Below are 19382 nucleotides of genomic sequence, written 5' to 3'. Positions count from 1 at the left end.
ATGCCTGTAATCCCAGCTACTTGGGAGGCTGAGGCTGGAGAATCACTTGAACCCAGGAGGTGGAGGTTGCAGTGAGCCAAGATGGCACCACTGCACTCCAGCCTGGGTGACAGAGCGAGACTCTATCTCAGAAAAAAAAAAAAAAAGAGTTGTGCCGGCAACAGTATTTAAGTGAGGATCATTCCAAAGCAGTTTGCAGCCTTCTGGTACTAGAATAATCTTGTGGACTTTAGGGTGGCTGGCGTTTAATTAACTGGGAGTTTGGGAGAGGTAAATAGACACACTCATGCATTTTCCTTTTGTCTTTCAGCATGTGAAGATGGATATAGGCTTGAAAATGAAACCTGCATGAGGTAGGCTCCATGTTGATTTAGTCTAATTTTGTTACAAATCTTATTTAGATAAATTGCCTCACTTATTTCTTTTGAGATTGGAAACTAATTCTTGCCCTTTTTTCTTTCTTGGCTTGCAGTTGCCCATTTGGCCTTGGTGGTCTCAACTGTGGAAACCGTAAGTGTACAAAAGTGGACCATTATGCGTGGGCAGGGGCCTGGCCCTGTTGTTAGTGCACAGGTGTCAGTCTCCTCCCACTTCCCTCAGTTCACACCTGCTGTCTTCTTAGGTTCTATGCCAATGGCATGGGGGAAACAAAGAGAAAGGCCAGACGTGGTGGCTCACGCCTGTAATCCCAGCACTTTGGAAGATGGAGGCAGGAGGATCACTTGAGGCCAGGAGTTAGAGACCATTCTGGCCAACATGGTGAAAGCCCGTCTCTAGTAAAAATACAAAAATTAGCTGGGTGTGATGGCACATGCCTGTAATCCTAGCTACTTGGGAAGCTGAGGTGAGAGAATCGCTTGAACCTGGGAGGCGGAGGTTGCAGTGAGCCAAGATCACGCCACTGCACTTCAGCCTGGGTTACAGAGCGACACTTCGTTTTAAAAAAAAAAAAAAACCCAAAAAACAACAACAAAAAAAACAAAGAGAAAGACTTGACTGGTACTGTTCAGGGGCTCAAGGTCTGGGCTGGGCAGGGAGAGAAACACTCACTCCTAAATACCCCTGCTGTGTGCTGAGTGTTACTGTGATAACCAGACATGGGGTGTGGGACGGGGAGGCAGGGACTGTGCCCACAGAAGAATGAGAGGACACTCGACAGTACTTCTTGGAGGGAGTGGAATTAGAGGAACAGTAGGAAAGATTTAGACTGGCGGGTATGGGGGGAGGACATCCCAGGCAGAGGGAGCAACTTAGACAAAGGTCTTCAGGCAGCCATGGGCCCTTGGTGTTCTGGGGACAGTGTGTAAGTGGATGTGGCTGGAAGATAGGAAGATCGGAAGGCAGAAAGTAGAGGATTTGGATTGGCAAAGTATATGAGGTCTGAACTGTTGGGGTTGGGATCACCAGGCTGAGGAGTGTAGACTCTAATCAATAACTGTCAGGCAGCTGGCAAAAGTCTTAGAGCAGGAAAGCAGTTTGATCAAGGAAAGCAATTTGGGCTGCATTGAGAACAGACTGGACAGAGGAGAATGTGGGTGCAGCTTAGATATTTCCAGCATAGTCCCACCAGGCATGCTAGAGACACACTTAGGAGTCCTCTCTGCTCCAGGTGGAAGTAGAGGGTGGAACGCCAAGCAGCCAAGAGTGTTGGTGGGGACTGTGAGCGGGGCGTGTTTTGCACCTAATCCAGTTCTTGGAGAAAACCAGTTGTGATTCATTTAAGATTGCTTGCACTGACATTTTCTTATATTCATACATTAGAAATTGAAATTATCTGCAAAATTAAATTTGGGGATATAGCATATCATAGGATGTAATAGAAATACTAACAATGAAGATTTTAGTTTAGGACAGCTTTGGCTCTCATCCTACAGACAAATGTGCCAGTGGACTATTTTATAAGTTTACTAGAAGGAAAGTAGACATGATTTTATTTAATGTGTGTAAAAAAGCCCCCAGTTTCTATTCCCCAGTGGTATACCTTACATCTGATTTCTTCAGTGGTGTTTTCTTTGTTCGTAAAGGTTTTCTATTAGCAAGTTTCATTATTGACTTTCTTTGAGCATAACTAAAAAATAAAAATAATGAAATAAAAATCAAACACATTCAATGCTGAATATAAAACTGACATAAAACTCTCTTGGTGCACCCAGCATGGTGCTACTCTCAGGTCAGAGTCTAGAGACTTGGAATTACATATCCATTTAGGATTACTGATGACTTTGGTCATCTGATTTATCTTGACTGCAGACTAGCAAGAGGTTACAGAAGATAGCCTCAGAGAAAGACTAGGGAGGCAATTCTAAAAGCAATTATATTTATAGTCATATGAGTAGAGAGGGAGGGACTCACAGAATTGATATTTGTTTTTCTGTGTTTTTGAGATGGAGTCTTGTTCTGTCGCCAGGCTGGAGTTCAGTGGCACGATCTCGGCTCACTGCAACCTCCGCCTCCTGGGTTCAAGCGATTTTCTTGCCTCAGTCTCCCAAGTAGCTGGGACAACAGGTGTGCACCACCACACCTAGCTAATTTTTGTATTTTTAGTAGAGACGGGGTTTTACCATGTTGGCCAGGATGGTCCCGATCTCTTGACCTTGTAATCCGCCCACCTCGGCCTCCCAAAGTGCTGGGATTCCAGGCGTGAGCCACCGTGCCCGGCCGATGTTTGTTTTTTAAGTAGCAACCTGCAGCCCTGAGTGGTGTAGTAAACAACCCTGTACTCTTTAGAAGTCCCAGAGGACACTGTGGGGCCATAGAACCATGTGAGCACGGCCCTTCACTCCAATGGACCCCAGTCATCACGCTCTAAATGGTGTTTGGTGCACTCAGTTTAATAAGGCAAGGAAGTTATCATATTTTAGGCTTTTTTATTTAATAAATTAAAGAATAGTCAAAATTCTTTTTAGGTGTCAATGCTGAACAGGGTAGGCTTGAGTATTTTGGAGATTTGGCTTATGTAAAACAGTCTGGATGGCAGTACATGTCCTTTCTAAAGATCAGTATTTAGGCAAGCCAGTTTCTCAGCTGGGCTCAGGGTCTTTATGCTTTTGTGTTTAGGAGGATATCTATGCCTTAAAGGGGCTGCCTGGTCTACAGAGTGGTGTGTGTTCACTTTTTCGTGTGAATCTCATTTCTCACTTGAAACCAGAACAGAGTCACAGAGAGCTCGTAAACTGATCAGAGAATGGAGTAGCCTGTGCACAAAAATAGATAAGAAAATCTATAACGTTTCAATGTGGAAAAAGGAGGCTGAATAATCAGACAGAAATTTAAGATATTTGAGTCTTGTTTCCCAAATGCTGGAATACTAGAACTACATGGTATATATATATATATATATATATGTGTGTGTGTGTGTGTGTGTGTGTGTGTACACATATATAGTCTTTCAGAAGAGATGCTTCAAGGCTAAGAGTAGAGGTTACATCACAAGCCTGCGGACCTGATCCTAAGATATTGTTAGAAACAGAGAGGCTTGGCCGGGCGCTGTGGCTCACGCCTGTAATCTCAGCACTTTGGGAGGCCGAGGCGGGCGGATCACGAGGTCAGGAGATTGAGACCGTCCTGGCTAACACGGTGAAACCCTGTCTCTACTAAAAATACAAAAAATTAGCTGGGCATGGTGGCGAGCGCCTGTAGTTCCAGCTACTCAGGAGGCTGAGGCAGAATGGCGTGAACCTGGGGGGGCGGAGCTTGCAGTGAGCCGGGATAGCGCCATTGCACTCTGGCCCGGGCGACACAGCGAGACTCCGTCTCAAAAAAAAAAAAAAAAAGAAAAAAAGAAACAGAGAGGCTTAGCAGCAGGAGGCTCAAAGTGCAGCAGACCTGTATCACGTGTGCAAGAAACTCATCTGAATGCAATCCCACCTGATGGCAGAGAAAGAGAGAGCCAGTGAGACAGGTGAGAGGTGTGGAGGTGTGGCCACCCTGTTCACGTGTGCCCCTCGGGTGAGCCAGGGAGCAGGAGGTAAGAGATATGACCTGCTCAGTCCTCTTGGGGCCTCTCATCCCTGACAGGCCTCTCATAGAATGAGCTAGTACTTTAAACCTGCTTTGGTCAGACAGCTCCCTAGTTTTTATTTTTTATTTTTAGAGATGAGGTCTCTCTCTATTGCCCAGGCTGGAGTGCAGTGGCCTGATCATGGCTCACTGTAGCCTCAACCTCTCAGGCTCAAGCAATCCTCCCACGTTGGTCTCCCAAAGTGTTAGGATTACAGGCATGAGCTACCACACCTGACCCCTAAATAAGTTTTATTAGAAAATGCTTCATGTTTCTCAGCGAATGGAAGAGTGATCCATCTAGGGAACATGAGTCTATAAAGGGCTGCAGGAAAGGGGTGTGAGCTGCAGGGCATTATTCTAAGTGGCACTGGTAATTTTTTTCTCAGAGATTATTAAGTACTATACATGTTTGGGGATGCTGTTTCCCTATGTCATTGACTATTCTGTAAGTTCTTATGTTAGGAAAAAGTCAAGTCCTCTCCATTATTTTTGTGGGGTTCTGGAAGTAGCCAAGATTTCTCTCTGATTCCTCAGACTTCCTTTTCCTTCCCATTTGTCCAAGTCACTGTCACTGTGTCCAGCAGAGGGCAGAGGCCTGTCTGGATGGTTTGCTCCTGGCCACCTTTTAGAACCGGCCGCCTATCTTTAGTTTGGTAACTTTTGTTATTCTGTGATGGCATGTAAATATCACTTTATCATTTTGATATCTCTATTAGTTTCAGTGTTGCAAGACAGTTAATATTATAGTGGCTGATAATAAGTAGCACTTGCCACCTGCCTCTTTCTCTGAGGTCTGGGCCAAGACCTGGGTGTTGGTTAAGGAGTTGGGAATTCATCCCTCTCTATGGTGATAGCATATTGGGAGTCTGTGACTCATCACTCAACGTTTTGTGCCAAATAGCAGGGCTCTGACTGCCCACCGCTATTACTCCCATTATTGCCACCCAAGACAGCAGGGGCCTTCCTGGGGCTGTGACTCAGGCTGGATTTTTCGTAGGCAAGAAATGCTTCTTCTCTATGCAGGCTTTTTAGGGCACATGCTCTACCCAAGCCCAATGAGGCTGGGGAGGCTGGCTTTTTCCAGCCAAGCACACATCATCCAACTCCAGTAGATTTTGGCATTAGGCATAACCTATGTCCCACCCCTCAAAAGTTTCTGTGCACTTTCTACTTGTGCCCAGATTTCAGTCCTTGCTCCTTACAGAGAAACTGGAAAGGGCAAGGCACAGTGGCTCACGCCTGTAATCCCAGCACTTTGGGAGGCCGAGGCAGGAGAGTCACTTGAGGTCAGGAGTTCGAGACCAGACTGGCCAACCTGGTGAAACCTCATCTCTACTAAAAATACGAAAATTAGCTGGGCATGGTGGCACATGCCTGTAATCCCAGCTACGCGGGAGGCTGAGGCAGGATAATCGCTTGAACCTGGGAGGCAGAGGCTACAGTAAGCCGAGATCGCACTATTGCACTCCAGCCTGGGCGACAGAGCAAGACTGTCTCAAAAAATAAACGAATAAATATCTGGAAAGGGCAGGACAAACCTTTCTCTCAAATCTTCACCCCCTGCTGGAGCAGGGCCCCCACTCCTGGGCAGCGCAGGCCTGCACCTTTCTTATCACAGCTCTCCTTTTAATTTTTTAAACACGTAAAATATCTCTCTGTTTATATCCCAGATTCCACCAATTTCAACAGCAAATATCCCATTTGCCAGATGGCCCCAGAATTCTTTTAGGAATGTGTCATCAGATGTGTCTCTCACTCCCCTTGCCTCCACCCTTTTCTTAGGGCGTGCACATTTCCTCTGTTGCTGGAAGTTTACGTTGGTTCCTCCTCACAGTTTCATAATTGCTAAACAACTTTGGGTTGTTTAGCCTTTTTTCTATTTTTAAAATAAATTCCTTTTTTAAAAAATAACAATATAGCACATGCCCATTAATTTCCCCTATTTTAACCCAAATTAATTAGAAAATAAATAGAAGTTAAGGGAAGAGGAGAGTAAACAGTCTCACCACCCATTAAACACTATGTTCACCATGTTTCCTTACTACTAAGTGTGGGGCATAGGCCAGCAGGATCCATGTCACCTTGGAGCTTATTGGAAATGAGCAACTTCGGGCTCCCCACTCCAGACCCACTGAATCCGAATCTGAATTCTCACCAGGCCCATAAATTTAGTTAATATGCAGATTTATATGCATATTAAAGTTAGAGAAACACTGGTATTATATATTTTTCCAGAGATATATATGTGTATGTCTTTTTAACAGAAATTGGATCTCACTGAACATACTGTTCTGTAACCTGCTTTTAAACCTAGTAAACTGTGGAATGTTTTCACTTACGTAATTTTATAATGTTACGTTTGATAGTCCTGTGAAATTCTGCTCTATGGACCTACTGTAACTTCCTTAACCATTCCCCTCTTACTGCCTTTCAAAAGTCTCTTTTTAAAATATTCCTGTCATCTAAGCCATTCTTCTGTTTTTTGTTTGTTTTTGTTTTGTTTTTTGGTTGTTTTTTTGTTTTTTGGTTTTTTTTGAGACGGAGTTTCACTCTTGTTGCCCAGGCTGGAGTGCAGTAGTGCGATCTTGGCTCACTGCAACCTCTGCCTCCCGGGTTCAAGGGATTCTCCTACCTCAGCCTCCTGAGTAGCTGGAATTACAGGCCCCACCACCACACCTGGGTAACTTTTTGTATTTTTAGTAGAGGCAGGTTTTCATCATGTTGGCCAGGCTGGTATCGAACTCCTGAACTCAGGTGATCCACCTGCCTCAGCCTCCCAAAGCGCTGGGATTACAGGCATGAGCCACCGTGCCTGGCCCCATTTTTCTGTTTTATGGTTATTGTCATTTTGTGATCATAGAGCTCACATAATTCTCCTAGATTACTTTTTTCTGGCCACAGACATTTTTTTCCATCCCTCTTTCATATTTGCCACGTCTCTTTTGTAGGTCATCCTTTCATTCAAAGGGTCTGCACCTCTTCAGAGGAGACCCCTGCCTCACAGCCTCCCAGTGTAGCCAGCAGGGAGTGAGAGTCTGCCTTCCCCACTGACAGCCCTCTTCCCGTGAAGCCAGACATTCCGCTTAAATATCTTTCTACACTGTCTTCCCAGCCCAACCCACGGTCTGATGGCAGGTGTAGAAGGTGTCTTTCAGTTGTGTTCACCCAGTTGTTGCCTTGGGTTATAAAAGACTTAGACCAATGGAAATGCTGTGTGTTGGTGGAAGTCACTCAGAACAAACATCTGGGAAGACAGCACTAAACTGCTTAGGAGGAAGGAGGGAGAATCTATTAATATTACCCAGAAGGCAGCTGGAAGTCTCATTCAGCTAAAAGCAGTCATTTTACTCGGTCTTGACTGGCCTCCCTTCACTTCAAACGGGGTAAGGCAGGGATTGGGGAGAGGGAACTGTTGTTCTGTACCCAACCCTTCTGCTAGCGAGGACTATTTGGTGAGGTGGAAGGGATAGAGTTGTGTAAAACATCAGGAGAAAGTGACAATCATGTGGGGCACTGTCACAGTGGAGAGTGGTGGGCACCGGGTATGTTCACACCCTGGTTGTAGACTTGCAAAAGGTGAATTTCAGAAGGTGCGGGAGAAAATAAGAATGCTGTGAACAGAGATGGAGGAGGAATGGAAAGATTTTAAAGGCAAAATTTGTCTGAGTGCGGTGGCTCACACCTGTAATCCCAGCACTTTAGGAGGCCGAGGCGGGAGGATTGCTTGAGCCCAGAAATTTGAGACCAACCTGGGCAACATAGCGAGACCTCATCTCTAAAAAAAAAAAAAAAATCAGCCAGGCATGGTGGCATGCACTTAGTGTCCCAGCTGCTTGGGAAACTGAGGTGAGAGGATCACTTGAGCTGGGGGGTGAGGTTACAGTGAGATGTAATCATGCCACTACACTGCAGCCTGGGTGACAGAGCAAGACCCTGTCTCAAAAAAAAGATTAAAAAATAAAAGGCAAAATTCTAACCATAAATCACAAGTGAGCTCAGTGAGGAAAAATATGGAGAGAACTGAATGCATTGTAAGATAAAAACTAATGTGGCTACCTAGAAAATTCTGTAATGTGTTCAAGAATCTTAAAGGAAGGTTGGCTAAGGTTCTCCTGGAGTAAGTGAGCCCAGCTAGCCTAAGCGACAAAGAGAGTTTATTGGAAGAATCCTGGCATCAGGAGTGGAAGGAACCAAGGAAGTGGAGGAAGGAAGCTCAGCAGCTGGGGGTAGCGAGGAGCTTCCTGTGAGAGCACATGTTGCCATGACTGCATCCTCATGGCTCATCTCCACTCTTTGCCATGTATCTGTATGCAGGCTCTCCTTCCCAGACAACATGATGGGAAATAGGGTCACCAAACAGCTCTTGGTTGGGGGTGGGGAGGTCTCTAGCTCAGCAATTGTGAAAGTGATGGCCCTCTTTTCCCAAATTCCTGGGAAGTAACTAATTGATCCACTTTGGATGGTGGGTTTGTTCCAGGACCAGCCAGCTGTGTCCAGGGGATGGTGTTACATGTCCGAGTGTGCCCACCCCCGGCTGCAGATGGAAGGGGGTGCACAGTTTTCAGAAGGGGGGTGGCTAAGCAGATAGTCCAGTAGATCCCATCCAAATAAGCATATAAACATAAACAAATATGGCTCTGGGGAAAGGCTAAGGCCCAGAATGTGCTGTTGGTTTGATGAAAGATGCTAACTGTGATGACAGCAATGTCAAGCTGTGAAGAATAAGGGAAACATGGAGCCATTGCTTGAGAAAGACTGAAATGTCAACAAATGCCAAGAAGAAAGTAGGACTAAGAATTCCAAGCTCTTCATTCCAGAAATCTTTTTGCACTAAAAAGGATAGGACAAGCCTAAGATGACATTCACTGCCTCTGTCTCACCTAAATATTCAGAGCACCTCTAAAGCTAGGAAACACTTCAGTTGGCACTTATTCAAATCCATGCACTTCTACGTCATCATAAATCTAAAATCAGTACTTAACCCCAAAAGATCAGTTGTAGAATGATTTTAAGAAGATCTCTGGGGGATATTACAAGGTTACAGTGACATGGCTGCCAAAGAACTTCAAATGTACTCTTTAAAAAATATGTATATGACTGGGCGTAGTGGCTCACGCCTGTAATCCCAGCACTTTGGGAGGCCGAGGCAGGCGGATCATGAGGTCAGGAGTTTGAGACCAGCCTGGCCAACATGGTGAAACTCCATCTCTCTAAAAATACAAAAATTAGCTGAGCATGGTGGTTCATTCCTATAATCCCAGCTACTCAGCTGGCTGAGGAAGGAGAATCGCTTGAACCCGGGAGGCAGAGGTTGCAGTGAGCCAAGATCGTGCCACTGCACTCCAGCCTGGGCGACTCCGTCTCAAAAAGAAAAAAAAAAAATATGTATGTGTATATATACACAATGTCAAGATTTCAGGGAGGGGTGTGTGTGTGTGTGTGCATATGTAAATATGTAAATAAAATTTGGGAAATACAGAAAAGCACAAAGAAGAAAGCAAATTATCCACCATTACCCGAGGCAGTGCTAACTTGTGCAAACATTTTGGTGAGTTCCTCCCAGGCTCTTTCTCTCTGCTTGAGTGCTGGGTGGTCTCCTGGCTTTCAGCCCAGTGCTCTTTCCTCTCCTGTGTAATCTAAACCAGTGCTACCCACGGTCTGGTCCATTGGCTGGCAGCAGCACCATCCCGTAGAAGCCTCTAGAAGTGAGGTTCTGAGCCCCTGCCCAGTATGACTGAACCAAATTTCTTGGAGCAGGGACCAGGAATCTGGGTTTTAACAAGGCTTGTGGGTGACTGAGACGCAGACGGGAGTTTGAGAAGCCCTCGTCTATGCCAGTGCTACACAACTTGTGGTCTGCCGTGTGAACTGTTACTGGACCATGGCAAGATAACACAGAAGTTGAGAGTGAGCACTTAGAAATGTTTATATTAACTTGACATAACTGTGACATCCAAGCATGGGAGCCTTGGAAAAGAGTTTTATTATATTTCACAAATATATCAGTCCACAGTCGAGTTGACTGTGACTTTAAAAAAAAAAACTTTAAAAAAAAAAAAAAGGAAAAAGTGAAATTTATGATAGTTGGTGCCTGTGGGGACAGATGAGGGGAGGAGCACATGCGACTTTATTTTCTTTATTTAAAAAGAATATCCAGGTTGGGCGCAGTGGCTCACACCTGTAATCCCAGCACTTTGGGAGGCCAGGGTGAGAGGACCACTTGGGGCCAGGAGTTCAAGACCAGCCTGGACAACATAGTGATACCCTGTCCCTACAAAAACCAAAACTTAGTTGCGCCCGTGGTCCCAGCTGCTTGGCAGGCTGAGGCAGAAGGATTGCTTGAGCCCAGGAGTTGAAGGCTGTAGTGAACTGTGATTTTGCCACTGCACTCCAGTGTGGGCAACATAGTGAGACCTGTCTCAAAAAAAAAAAAGGATATCCAGAAGCACAAACAAGCAAGCAAAAACTGGTCCTCAGGCCAGGCGCTGTGGCTCACACCTGTAATCCCAGCACCGTGGGAGGCCGAGGTGAGCGGATCACTGGAGGCCAAGAGTTTGAGACCAGCCTGGCCAACATAGCGAAACCCCGTCTCTACTAAAAATGCCAAAAAATTAGCTGGGCATGGTGGCGCGTGCCTGTAATCACAGCTACTCAGGAGGTTGAGGCATGAGAATCGCTTGAACCTGGGAGGAAGAGGTTGCAGTGAGCCGAGATCACACCATTGCACTCCAGCCTGGGCAATGGAGCCAGAGTCTGTAAAAATAAAAAAAAAATAAAAAAACTGGTCCTTGACCACAGATAGTTTGAGAAGCACTGGTGTACACCATCTGTGTCTCTTTTTAGACAAAACTGCTTGTTTCCAACAGGAACCTGCTACAGCTGCAGCCACTTGAAAGGGTCACTTCTAAAATGGATGCTTACTTGTTTTGTTGGAAGTGAGAAAATTTAACTTGGTGTGGCAGGATAAGCAGGAGCCAGACTCTGGTCTTTAGGAAAAAAGGGAGCCACAGAGGGTTTTTTAAAGCAGGGAAATGGCAAGATCAGATTTGCTTTCTATAATAGTGAGTGGACAAGACTGGGCACAGGTGGATGCGTTGGGAAGCAGCTGCAGTTGTCCAGACAAGGGATGATGGTAGCTCAGAGCCATGTTGGGGGAGATGAAGAAAAGTGGATAAATTCAAGAGGTTTGTTTTCTGTCTTCACTTTTGTTAAAAAAGAAACTTTCAAATACATGTGTTGGGAGGTAAGGAAGAGAATGTGTTTATTCTGTGGCTTGGCTTTGTTTCCTGTGTATCTTAATACTGATGGCTTTTGTATCCTAATACTGATGGTTTTACGTAATAGCCAGGTTTCTGTGCTATTTATTTAAATAAAAGGATAGGAAAATTGTTGCATGGCTTGTATTTGCTCATAGTCTACCTGTTGCCTGTCTTCATTCTCAACCAGCACCTAGTGCTCTAGAAGCTTGGTGAGGAGGGGAGGAAGGTGTCAGCCCTGTACCTCATCCTTGTTTACATCCTTGTTTAGTAGAAACGGGGTTTCACCGTGTTAGCCAGGATGGTCTCAATCTCCTGACCTCGTGATCTGCCTGCCTCGGCCTCCCAAAGTGCTGGGATTACAGGCTCCAATCTTAATTTACTATCGAGAATCCGGCTACTGGTGTTTCATCCTGGATCCTACAACTAGAGAACACAATTTTCTTGTATTTCCACAACCAAAAAATCAATAGGAATATTTAATAAAATTTATTGAAGATATGATTTTACCAGAAATACATAGATATAAAAGCAATTAATTAAAGCTTTTAATATTGCTTTCTACATATGATATGTACTTGCTTAAATCACTGCTAATTTCTGGTAATTAAATTTGATGTGTATCTATTGAGGAGCTACTCAGTCCCTAGCATGGTTGATGCAGTGATTCCCAGACTCTGGACTTAACTGATCAGTAATGTTCCTTATAAAATTGCGGAGTCTAACCTAGGGTTGCCTCCTTTTTATTTTATCAAGTAAAAATCTAGAACTGAATCAAGAATTTTTAGGCCAGGCATGGTGGCTCAAGCCTGTAATCCCAGCACTTTGGGAGGCCGAGGCTGGTGGACCACCTGAGGTTAGGAGTTCGAGATCAGTCTGGCCAACATTGCGAAACCTCGTCTCTACTAAAAACACAAAAAAATTAGCAGGGCATGGTGGCACGTGTCTGTAATCCCAGCTACTCAGGAGGCTGAGGCAGAAGAATCGCTTGAACCCAGGAGGTGGAGGTTCAGTGAGCCGGGATCGCACCATTGCACTCCAGACTGGGCAACAAGAGCAAGACTCCGTCTCGGAAAAAAAAAGAAAAAAAAAAAGAATTTTTATATCTACTATCACCATTAACTCAAAAAATTAAACAACACCAAAGGGTGGGAAGTGACCAAGAAAAGATTCTGCGTTATCTCCATTACTTTTTTATTTATTTATTTATTTATTTATTTATTTATTTATTTATTTTTGAGACAGAGTCTCACTGTGTCACCCAGGCTGGAGTGCAGTGGTTTGATCTCGGCTCACAGCAACCTCGGTCTCCTGGACCCATCCATTACTTTAATAAAAATCAGATTTACTGAGGCATAATTTACACATGATAAAAGGCATCCATCTTAAGTGACAGAGAAAAGTAGAAAGGACAAAAATCTTAGATTATAGAACAGTTATCAAAGAGGAACAAATTAAGTTTTTAAAAAACTCATAACTCACATTTATTTTTCTCTTTCTACCGTGGGTTGGTGAAAATTTCATCGGGGCTGGTGCACAGGTAAAAGTTAGGAGCCACCATCCTAGGAGTGGCTTAAAAAAGGGAGCTTTTCGGCCGGGCGCGGTGGCTCACGCCTGTAATCCCAGAACTTTGGGAGGCCGAGGCAGGTGGATCAAGAGGTCAGGAGATTGAGACCATCCTGGCTAACACGGTGAAACCCTGTCTCTACTAAAAATACAAAAAATTAGCCGGGCCTGGTGGCACGCACCTGTAGTCCCAGCTACTTGGGAGGCCGAGGCAGGAGAATCGCTTGAACCCAGGAGGCGGAGGTTGCAGTGAGCTGAGATTGCACCACTGCACTCCAGCCTGGGCGACAGGGTGAGACTCTGTCTCAGAAAACAACAACAACAACAACAACAAAAAACTCTTCTCAATATGGAGAGCCTTGGAGATAGCCATTGAGGATCCCTTGCCAGAGAGTAGGAAGTTGTAGGCGAGGGCACCCCTCAAGGCAGGGTGGTGACTGTAGAGTCAGGGGAGACCATTCTTGAGAACTCACTCATTCCTTCATTACCTCCAGCCAATATGCTTTTTTGTTTGTTTTACGTTTAGCCTATCAGCTTATCACTGTGGTGATCGCAGCCGCGGGAGGTGGGCTCCTGCTCATCCTAGGCATCGCACTGATTGTTACCTGTTGCAGGTAAGTGATGAGAGTTCAGGTTCCAATCCCGTTCCTTTGCCTGTGCTATACAAGGGTCAGTTTGTATTCTTTTACAGGATACTTGAGATGGTTCACAATATTAAACCATAATGTGTGACTAACCCATTTTTAAAAAAGGAGAAAGGGAATTCACGATAGTTGGTGCCTGTGAGGAAAAAGAAGGGGAGTAAATGGAACTTCATTTTCTTTATTAGAAAAGAATAGCTGAAAGCACAAGCAGGAAATGAAAAAAGAAATAAACTGGGCTTCATCAGAATTAAAAACTTTTGTACTCCAAAGGACACTATCAAGAAAGTGAAAAGACAACCCATACTTGCAAATATGGGTTGCATGAGAAAATACTTGCAAATTATGTGTCTAATAAGGGACTTGTATCTAGAATATAGAAGGAACTCTTACAACTCAACAACCTAATTTTAAAACTGGACAAACACTTGAATAGACATTTCTTCAAAGAAGAGATACAGATGGCCAATAAGCACATTGTCTTAGTCCATTTTGTATTGCTGTAAAGGAATACCTGAGGCTGGGTATATTAGTCCATTTTTATACTGCTGATAAAGACATGCCCAAGACTGAGCAATCTGCAAAATAAAGAGGTTTAATGGACTTACAGTTCCAAGTGGCTGGGGAAGCCTCATAATCATGGTGGAAGGCAAAGAGGAGCAAGACATGTCTTACGTGAATGGCAGCAGGCAAAGAGAGAGCTTGTGCAGGGAAACTCCCCCGTATAGAACCATCAGATCTCATGAGACTCATTTACTATCATGAGAACAGCATGGGAAAGACCCACCCCCATGATTCAACCATCTCCCACCAGGTCCCTCCCACAACACGTGGGAATTCAAGATGAGATTTGGATGGGGACATAGCCGAACCATATCAATGGGTAGTTTCTAAAGAAAAAGGTTTATTTGGCTCACAATTCTGATGGCTGCAAATTTTGAGATTGGGCGTCTGTATCTGGTGAGGGCCTCAGGCTGCTTCCACTCCTGGAAGAAGATGAAGGGAGCCACCTGATGAGAAAGAAAGCAAGAGGTGGGGGGCTAGGGGAGAGGTATCAGGCTCTTTTGAACAACCAGCTTTCCCAGGAAAGGTATTAGTCCTTTCATGAGAGATCTGCCCTCATGGCCCAGACACCTCCCTGTAGGCCCCATCCCCCAGCACCTCCACACTGGGGATTAAATTTCAGCATGAGACTGGGTGGGGACAAACTATATCCCGATCGTGGCACACACGAAAAGATGGTCAACATCATTAGTCACCTAGGAAATGCAAATCGAAACCACCATGAGACACCACTTCACACCCACTAAGATGGCTATTAAAAAAAAAAAAAATAGAAAATAGCTGCTGGGCACAGTGGCTCAGCCTGTAATTCCAGCACTTTGGGAGTTCGAGGCGAGTGGATCACTTCAGATCAGGAGTTCAAGACCAGCCTGGCCAACATGGTGAAACCCTGTCTCCGCCAAAAATATAAAAAATTAGCTGGGTGTGGTGGTGCATGCCTGTAATCCCAGCTACTCGGGAGGCTGAGGCAGGAGAATTGCTTGAACCTGGGAGGCAGAGGTGCAGTGACCTGAGATCATGCCACTGCACTCCAGCCTGGGTGACAGAGCCAGACTCCGTCTCAAACAAAACAAAACAAAACAAAAAAACACCTAGAAAATAACAAGCATTGGTGAGGAAGTGGAAAAATCAGAATCCCCCATACACTGCTAGTGGGAATGTAAAATGGTGCAGCCGCTTTGAAAAAGTCTGAAAGTTAAAGACAGAGTTACCATTGGACCCAGCACTTCCACTCTTAGGTATATCAAGAGAAGTGAAAAGGTATACTCACACAAAAACTTCACGTCAATGTTCACAGCAACATTATTTACAATAGCCAAAAGGTGAAAACTCTACCAATGTTTGTCAATGGATAAACAAAATGTGATATATTTCTACAATGGAATATGATTCCGGCATAAAATGAATGAAGTACTGATACATACTATAACATGGGTGAACCCTGAAAATACGCTAAGTGAAACAAGCCAGTCCCAAAAGACCACCTACTGTATGATTCTATTTATATGACTTATCTGAAATAGGCAAATCTAATAGAGTTGGAAAGTAGATTAATGGTTGTCTAGGGCCAGAATGGTGGGGAAAAGGGGAGAATTGGAAGATGGTGGCTAAGGGGTATGGGGTTTCTTCTTGGGGTGATGAAACTGTTCTAAAATTGTGATGATGGTTGCACAAGTCTGAATATGCCAGAAACCATTAAATGAGTGAATCGCATGATATGTGAACTGTTTCTCAGTAAAGCTATGTACAGAAAGAGAAGCAGACAAAGAAAGATGAAATATTTTTGCAGTAGAGAAGTTGTAGCAGCAGTGTGGGATGCTTTGGGCTTCCTGGAAGCCACTGAGATTGGGTTTCTATTGGAAAAGGAAGAGAAAGGAGGAAATTGATTCCCCTTCTCTGTGATGATCTATTCAGATAAGGGAAAATTATGACCTCTGACTTAGATGATAATAATGGCAGGAATTATCTAGATGTAACAGATGGGGGGAACCTCCCAAAATAGCTAGTTATCTTTTCTACCGTTGACATAAAGGACATTTTAAGATATCCTCTGTCTTCAAAAAGGCAGCAGAGAGCAATGTGCCCTAACTGCCCAACTAGGAATGCAGCCCTTATGGTATAGCCTTTGCCTATTATTTTCCAAATTGCCATCAAATCATCAAAGATAAACCATATGAGTGGAAATAAACTTCAGGGGATGAGACTAGGAATGGTTACCTAGAGGGACATAACCTGAGCGCTCAAGGGACAGAAGCCTCATATTTGCTACGTGTTCTGTACTGTGTGGTGTACCCATTTGGGGAAGGAGCCTGTGCCTGCTGGCTCCTGAGAAGAGAAGGTAGTTGTGCATGAGTATGTCATTGTCTGAGCCCAGGTACCCCACCCACCAGGAAGCAACACAGTGGCAGGTCTGTTCCCAACTTCCACAAAGAGCCAGCACCTAAGCCACATGCTAGACATTTGGTTTTATGACCCTGAGTCACTTTTTGCCTTCCCTAGAAAACTTATTTGTACTTTAAGTGAGGTAGAAAGAAAAAGATTTCAGATTATCCTATCTGTGACAAATATAATTTAAAATTTCTGATCCTGGACCGGTTAGATAGGTGAAGAACACAGATTCCAACAATTTGCAGTCAGTGAGATCTCACGAGTAGCATTTCTGTAACCTGCTGAAATGAGAATTTGTACAGGTGTATAAATAGGTGGGCTTTTTCATAAACAAACCATTCTGTTTTTATGACTTGTGAAATATTTGCTTCGTGTAGTAGAAAGAGCACTGCCCGGAGAGTTGGAGGCCTGAATTCTAGTTCCACACCTTCTAGTAGCAAAAGGTGACCCAGAGGACAAGTCAGGTCTCTTTACTGAGTTGGAGCTGCCCCATCCTATCCCCAGAGCTCCTGATTCAGTCAATCTGGGGGAGACCCAGACTCTTCCCATGTAAATTCTGATGCTTGGGCAGCTTGGGATCCACTGGACTAGAATGAGTCTAAGGGCCCCTCTGGCTCCAGCATTCTGTGAATTTATGACCCTTGTTTTCCTGGCCACCCCCAAGACACAGTGATCTCTGTCCTGTAGAAGAGTCTAAATCTGCCCTATTGCTGCTGTTTTTGTCCCCCTACCCCCTGATAATCTGGCCCCTTTGGGTTGGAAGAATTTTTGTATCTTTTTTTGCACCTAACTGCATATTTACTTGTTGTAGGCAAATACCAAATAACAACAATAATAATACTACTCAGTGGGCAGCTACAAATAAATATAATGGTAGCTTTCAGTTGAATTTACATTATAAAATCATAGTTGGTGCTTTCACAGTATCACTTCTTTACGGAATTGAGCTTTACAAATATTTTTGTATCCCACAGAAAGAATAAAAATGACATAAGCAAACTCATCTTCAAAAGTGGAGATTTCCAAATGTCCCCGTATGCTGAATACCCCAAAAATCCTCGCTCACAAGAATGGGGCCGAGAAGCTATTGAAATGCATGAGAATGGAAGTACCAAAAACCTCCTCCAGATGACGGATGTGTACTACTCGGTGTGTATTCCTGTGTCAGGATGACCCCAGGGCCCCCGGTTCCTCTGAGAAGTAAAGGAATTCTGTTTTGTTGTAGTAAAAGCATTACAGTTAGTTAAGGGTTAAAGAGTAGTGGCATGAACCTCTGATTTACTAGTCAGTTTACCTACAGTCTATTTGCATGGTACTTATCAGTGTTGCTATTGAGGTATGAAGGATATTTCCATAAAGCACATTATATTTATGTGGTTGTAGCAGTAACCCTCTTGTTACTAAACTTGGCTTTTAAGTTATAGGAATGGAAACTGAAAGGTAGAGCAAGAATTTAGTGATATTTAGCCTTTGGCCCTTTCATTTTTATCTCCTGTCTGCCATGCTTACCTTGTGTGGTTAGGTACTTAAAACTAGAGGATTGGTGGCTGGGCACAGTGGCTCACACCTGTAATCCCAGCACTTTGGGAGGCCGAGGTGGGCAGATCTTGTGAGTCCAGGAGTTTGAGACCAGCCTGGGCAACATGGTGAAATCATGTCTCTACAGAAACCGTGCTCCTCTCTACAAAAAATTAGCCTGGCATGGTGGTGCTCGCCTGTGGTTCTAGCTACTTGAGAGGCTAAGATGGGAGGATTGCTTGAGTTGGGGAGGCAGAGGTTGCAGTGAGCCAAGATTGCACCACTGTACTCCAGCCTGGGCAACAGAGTGAGATCCTATCTCAAAATAATAATAATAATAATAATAGCAATAATAAACAACAACAACAAAAAAACCAACTAGGGGATGGGGAAAAGGTATAAAGAGAACAACAATTCAATGTCGTCCTCAACAAGCACTTCTCAGGTTTAGAATATTGTATACTCAGTAGGCCTTTAATAATTTGCTATGTCCAGCCTGGACTGCATCATTTGGAAAGGTAGGAGACAACCTTGAACCCTTGCTGCCTTTCTCCCATATTGAATTTAACCTGTGTCATATTCCTGTAAACTGCCCAGCTCATTTCATATCACTGTATCAACCATAAAGCAAACACGAACAGGCGTATCTGAGCTGAAAAGTAAACAGTTATCAGGTGACTTCTCGTGCCATGTGGAGCTGTCTGAGGAATAGCAATAAATGTGAAACCTTGCCCCATGGGGACTTAATGGTGTTAGACAATCTTGTGACAGAAACCATAATTCCTCTGGTTGCTGTGGCAATTGACCATGGGGATGCAGACTTTGGATGGGAGGGACAAGTTTGTTCATGCTAAGAAGCTGTTTATTTCCATGGACTCTTTTTGAAAAATTTGAACCTAGAGGAAGAACAAAAAGTTATAAATAAGGAAAAAAACATAAAGAAATACAAACTTAGCTCTAGCAAAAATATTCCCATTGATATTTCTGCATTGGGCTTTGTTTCTCTGTTTATCAGGAAAGTCCTTTTCCTTTACTAACTGAAGCTATAACTGAGCTGGTATTTTACCCTGGTGTGTCCCCACACTCTCATCCTTTACTCGGGACTCCTCAGCCCCAGCACGGTTCAATAACTAGCAACAAACAGGCCTGTGACATCATAGGAACCAACTTCACTGCATGTTTCCATGGTATTAAAGAGTTACCTTAAATAAACGTAGTCAAGAATGTAAATGAACCCCATTTTTATTCCAAAAATAGCAGGCTGGCCAGGCACAGTGGCTCATGCCGATAATCCCTGTAATCACTTTGGGAGGCCAAGATCGGGGGATTGCTTGACCCTAGGAGTTCAAGACCAGCCTGGGCAACATGGTGAGACCCTGTCTCTACAAATTTTTTTCTTTTTTTAATTAGCCAGGCATGGTGGTGGACCCCTGTACATCCAGCTACT

The 19382-nt window shown here is 44.2% G+C and overlaps 1 protein-coding gene across 1 annotated transcript in view; it reads left to right on the top strand.

The window, feature by feature from the left end:
* The window catches only part of HEG1 (heart development protein with EGF like domains 1), a 90288-nt gene that overhangs the window by 64701 nt on the left and 6205 nt on the right, over window positions 1–19382 (top strand). Inside the window, exons 13-16 of the mRNA NM_020733.2 lie at window positions 311–353; window positions 473–510; window positions 13351–13438; window positions 17392–17566. Coding sequence (NP_065784.1) covers window positions 311–353; window positions 473–510; window positions 13351–13438; window positions 17392–17566 — 344 coding nt within the window. The remainder of the gene's footprint in view (window positions 1–310; window positions 354–472; window positions 511–13350; window positions 13439–17391; window positions 17567–19382) is intronic.

This window comes from Homo sapiens, chromosome 3 (genome assembly GCF_000001405.40).
Source record: "Homo sapiens chromosome 3, GRCh38.p14 Primary Assembly".
NCBI classification, from domain to species: domain Eukaryota; kingdom Metazoa; phylum Chordata; class Mammalia; order Primates; family Hominidae; genus Homo; species Homo sapiens.
The sequence above is the reverse complement of the archived record's forward strand: the minus strand, read 5'-3'. Positions and strand labels throughout refer to the sequence as shown.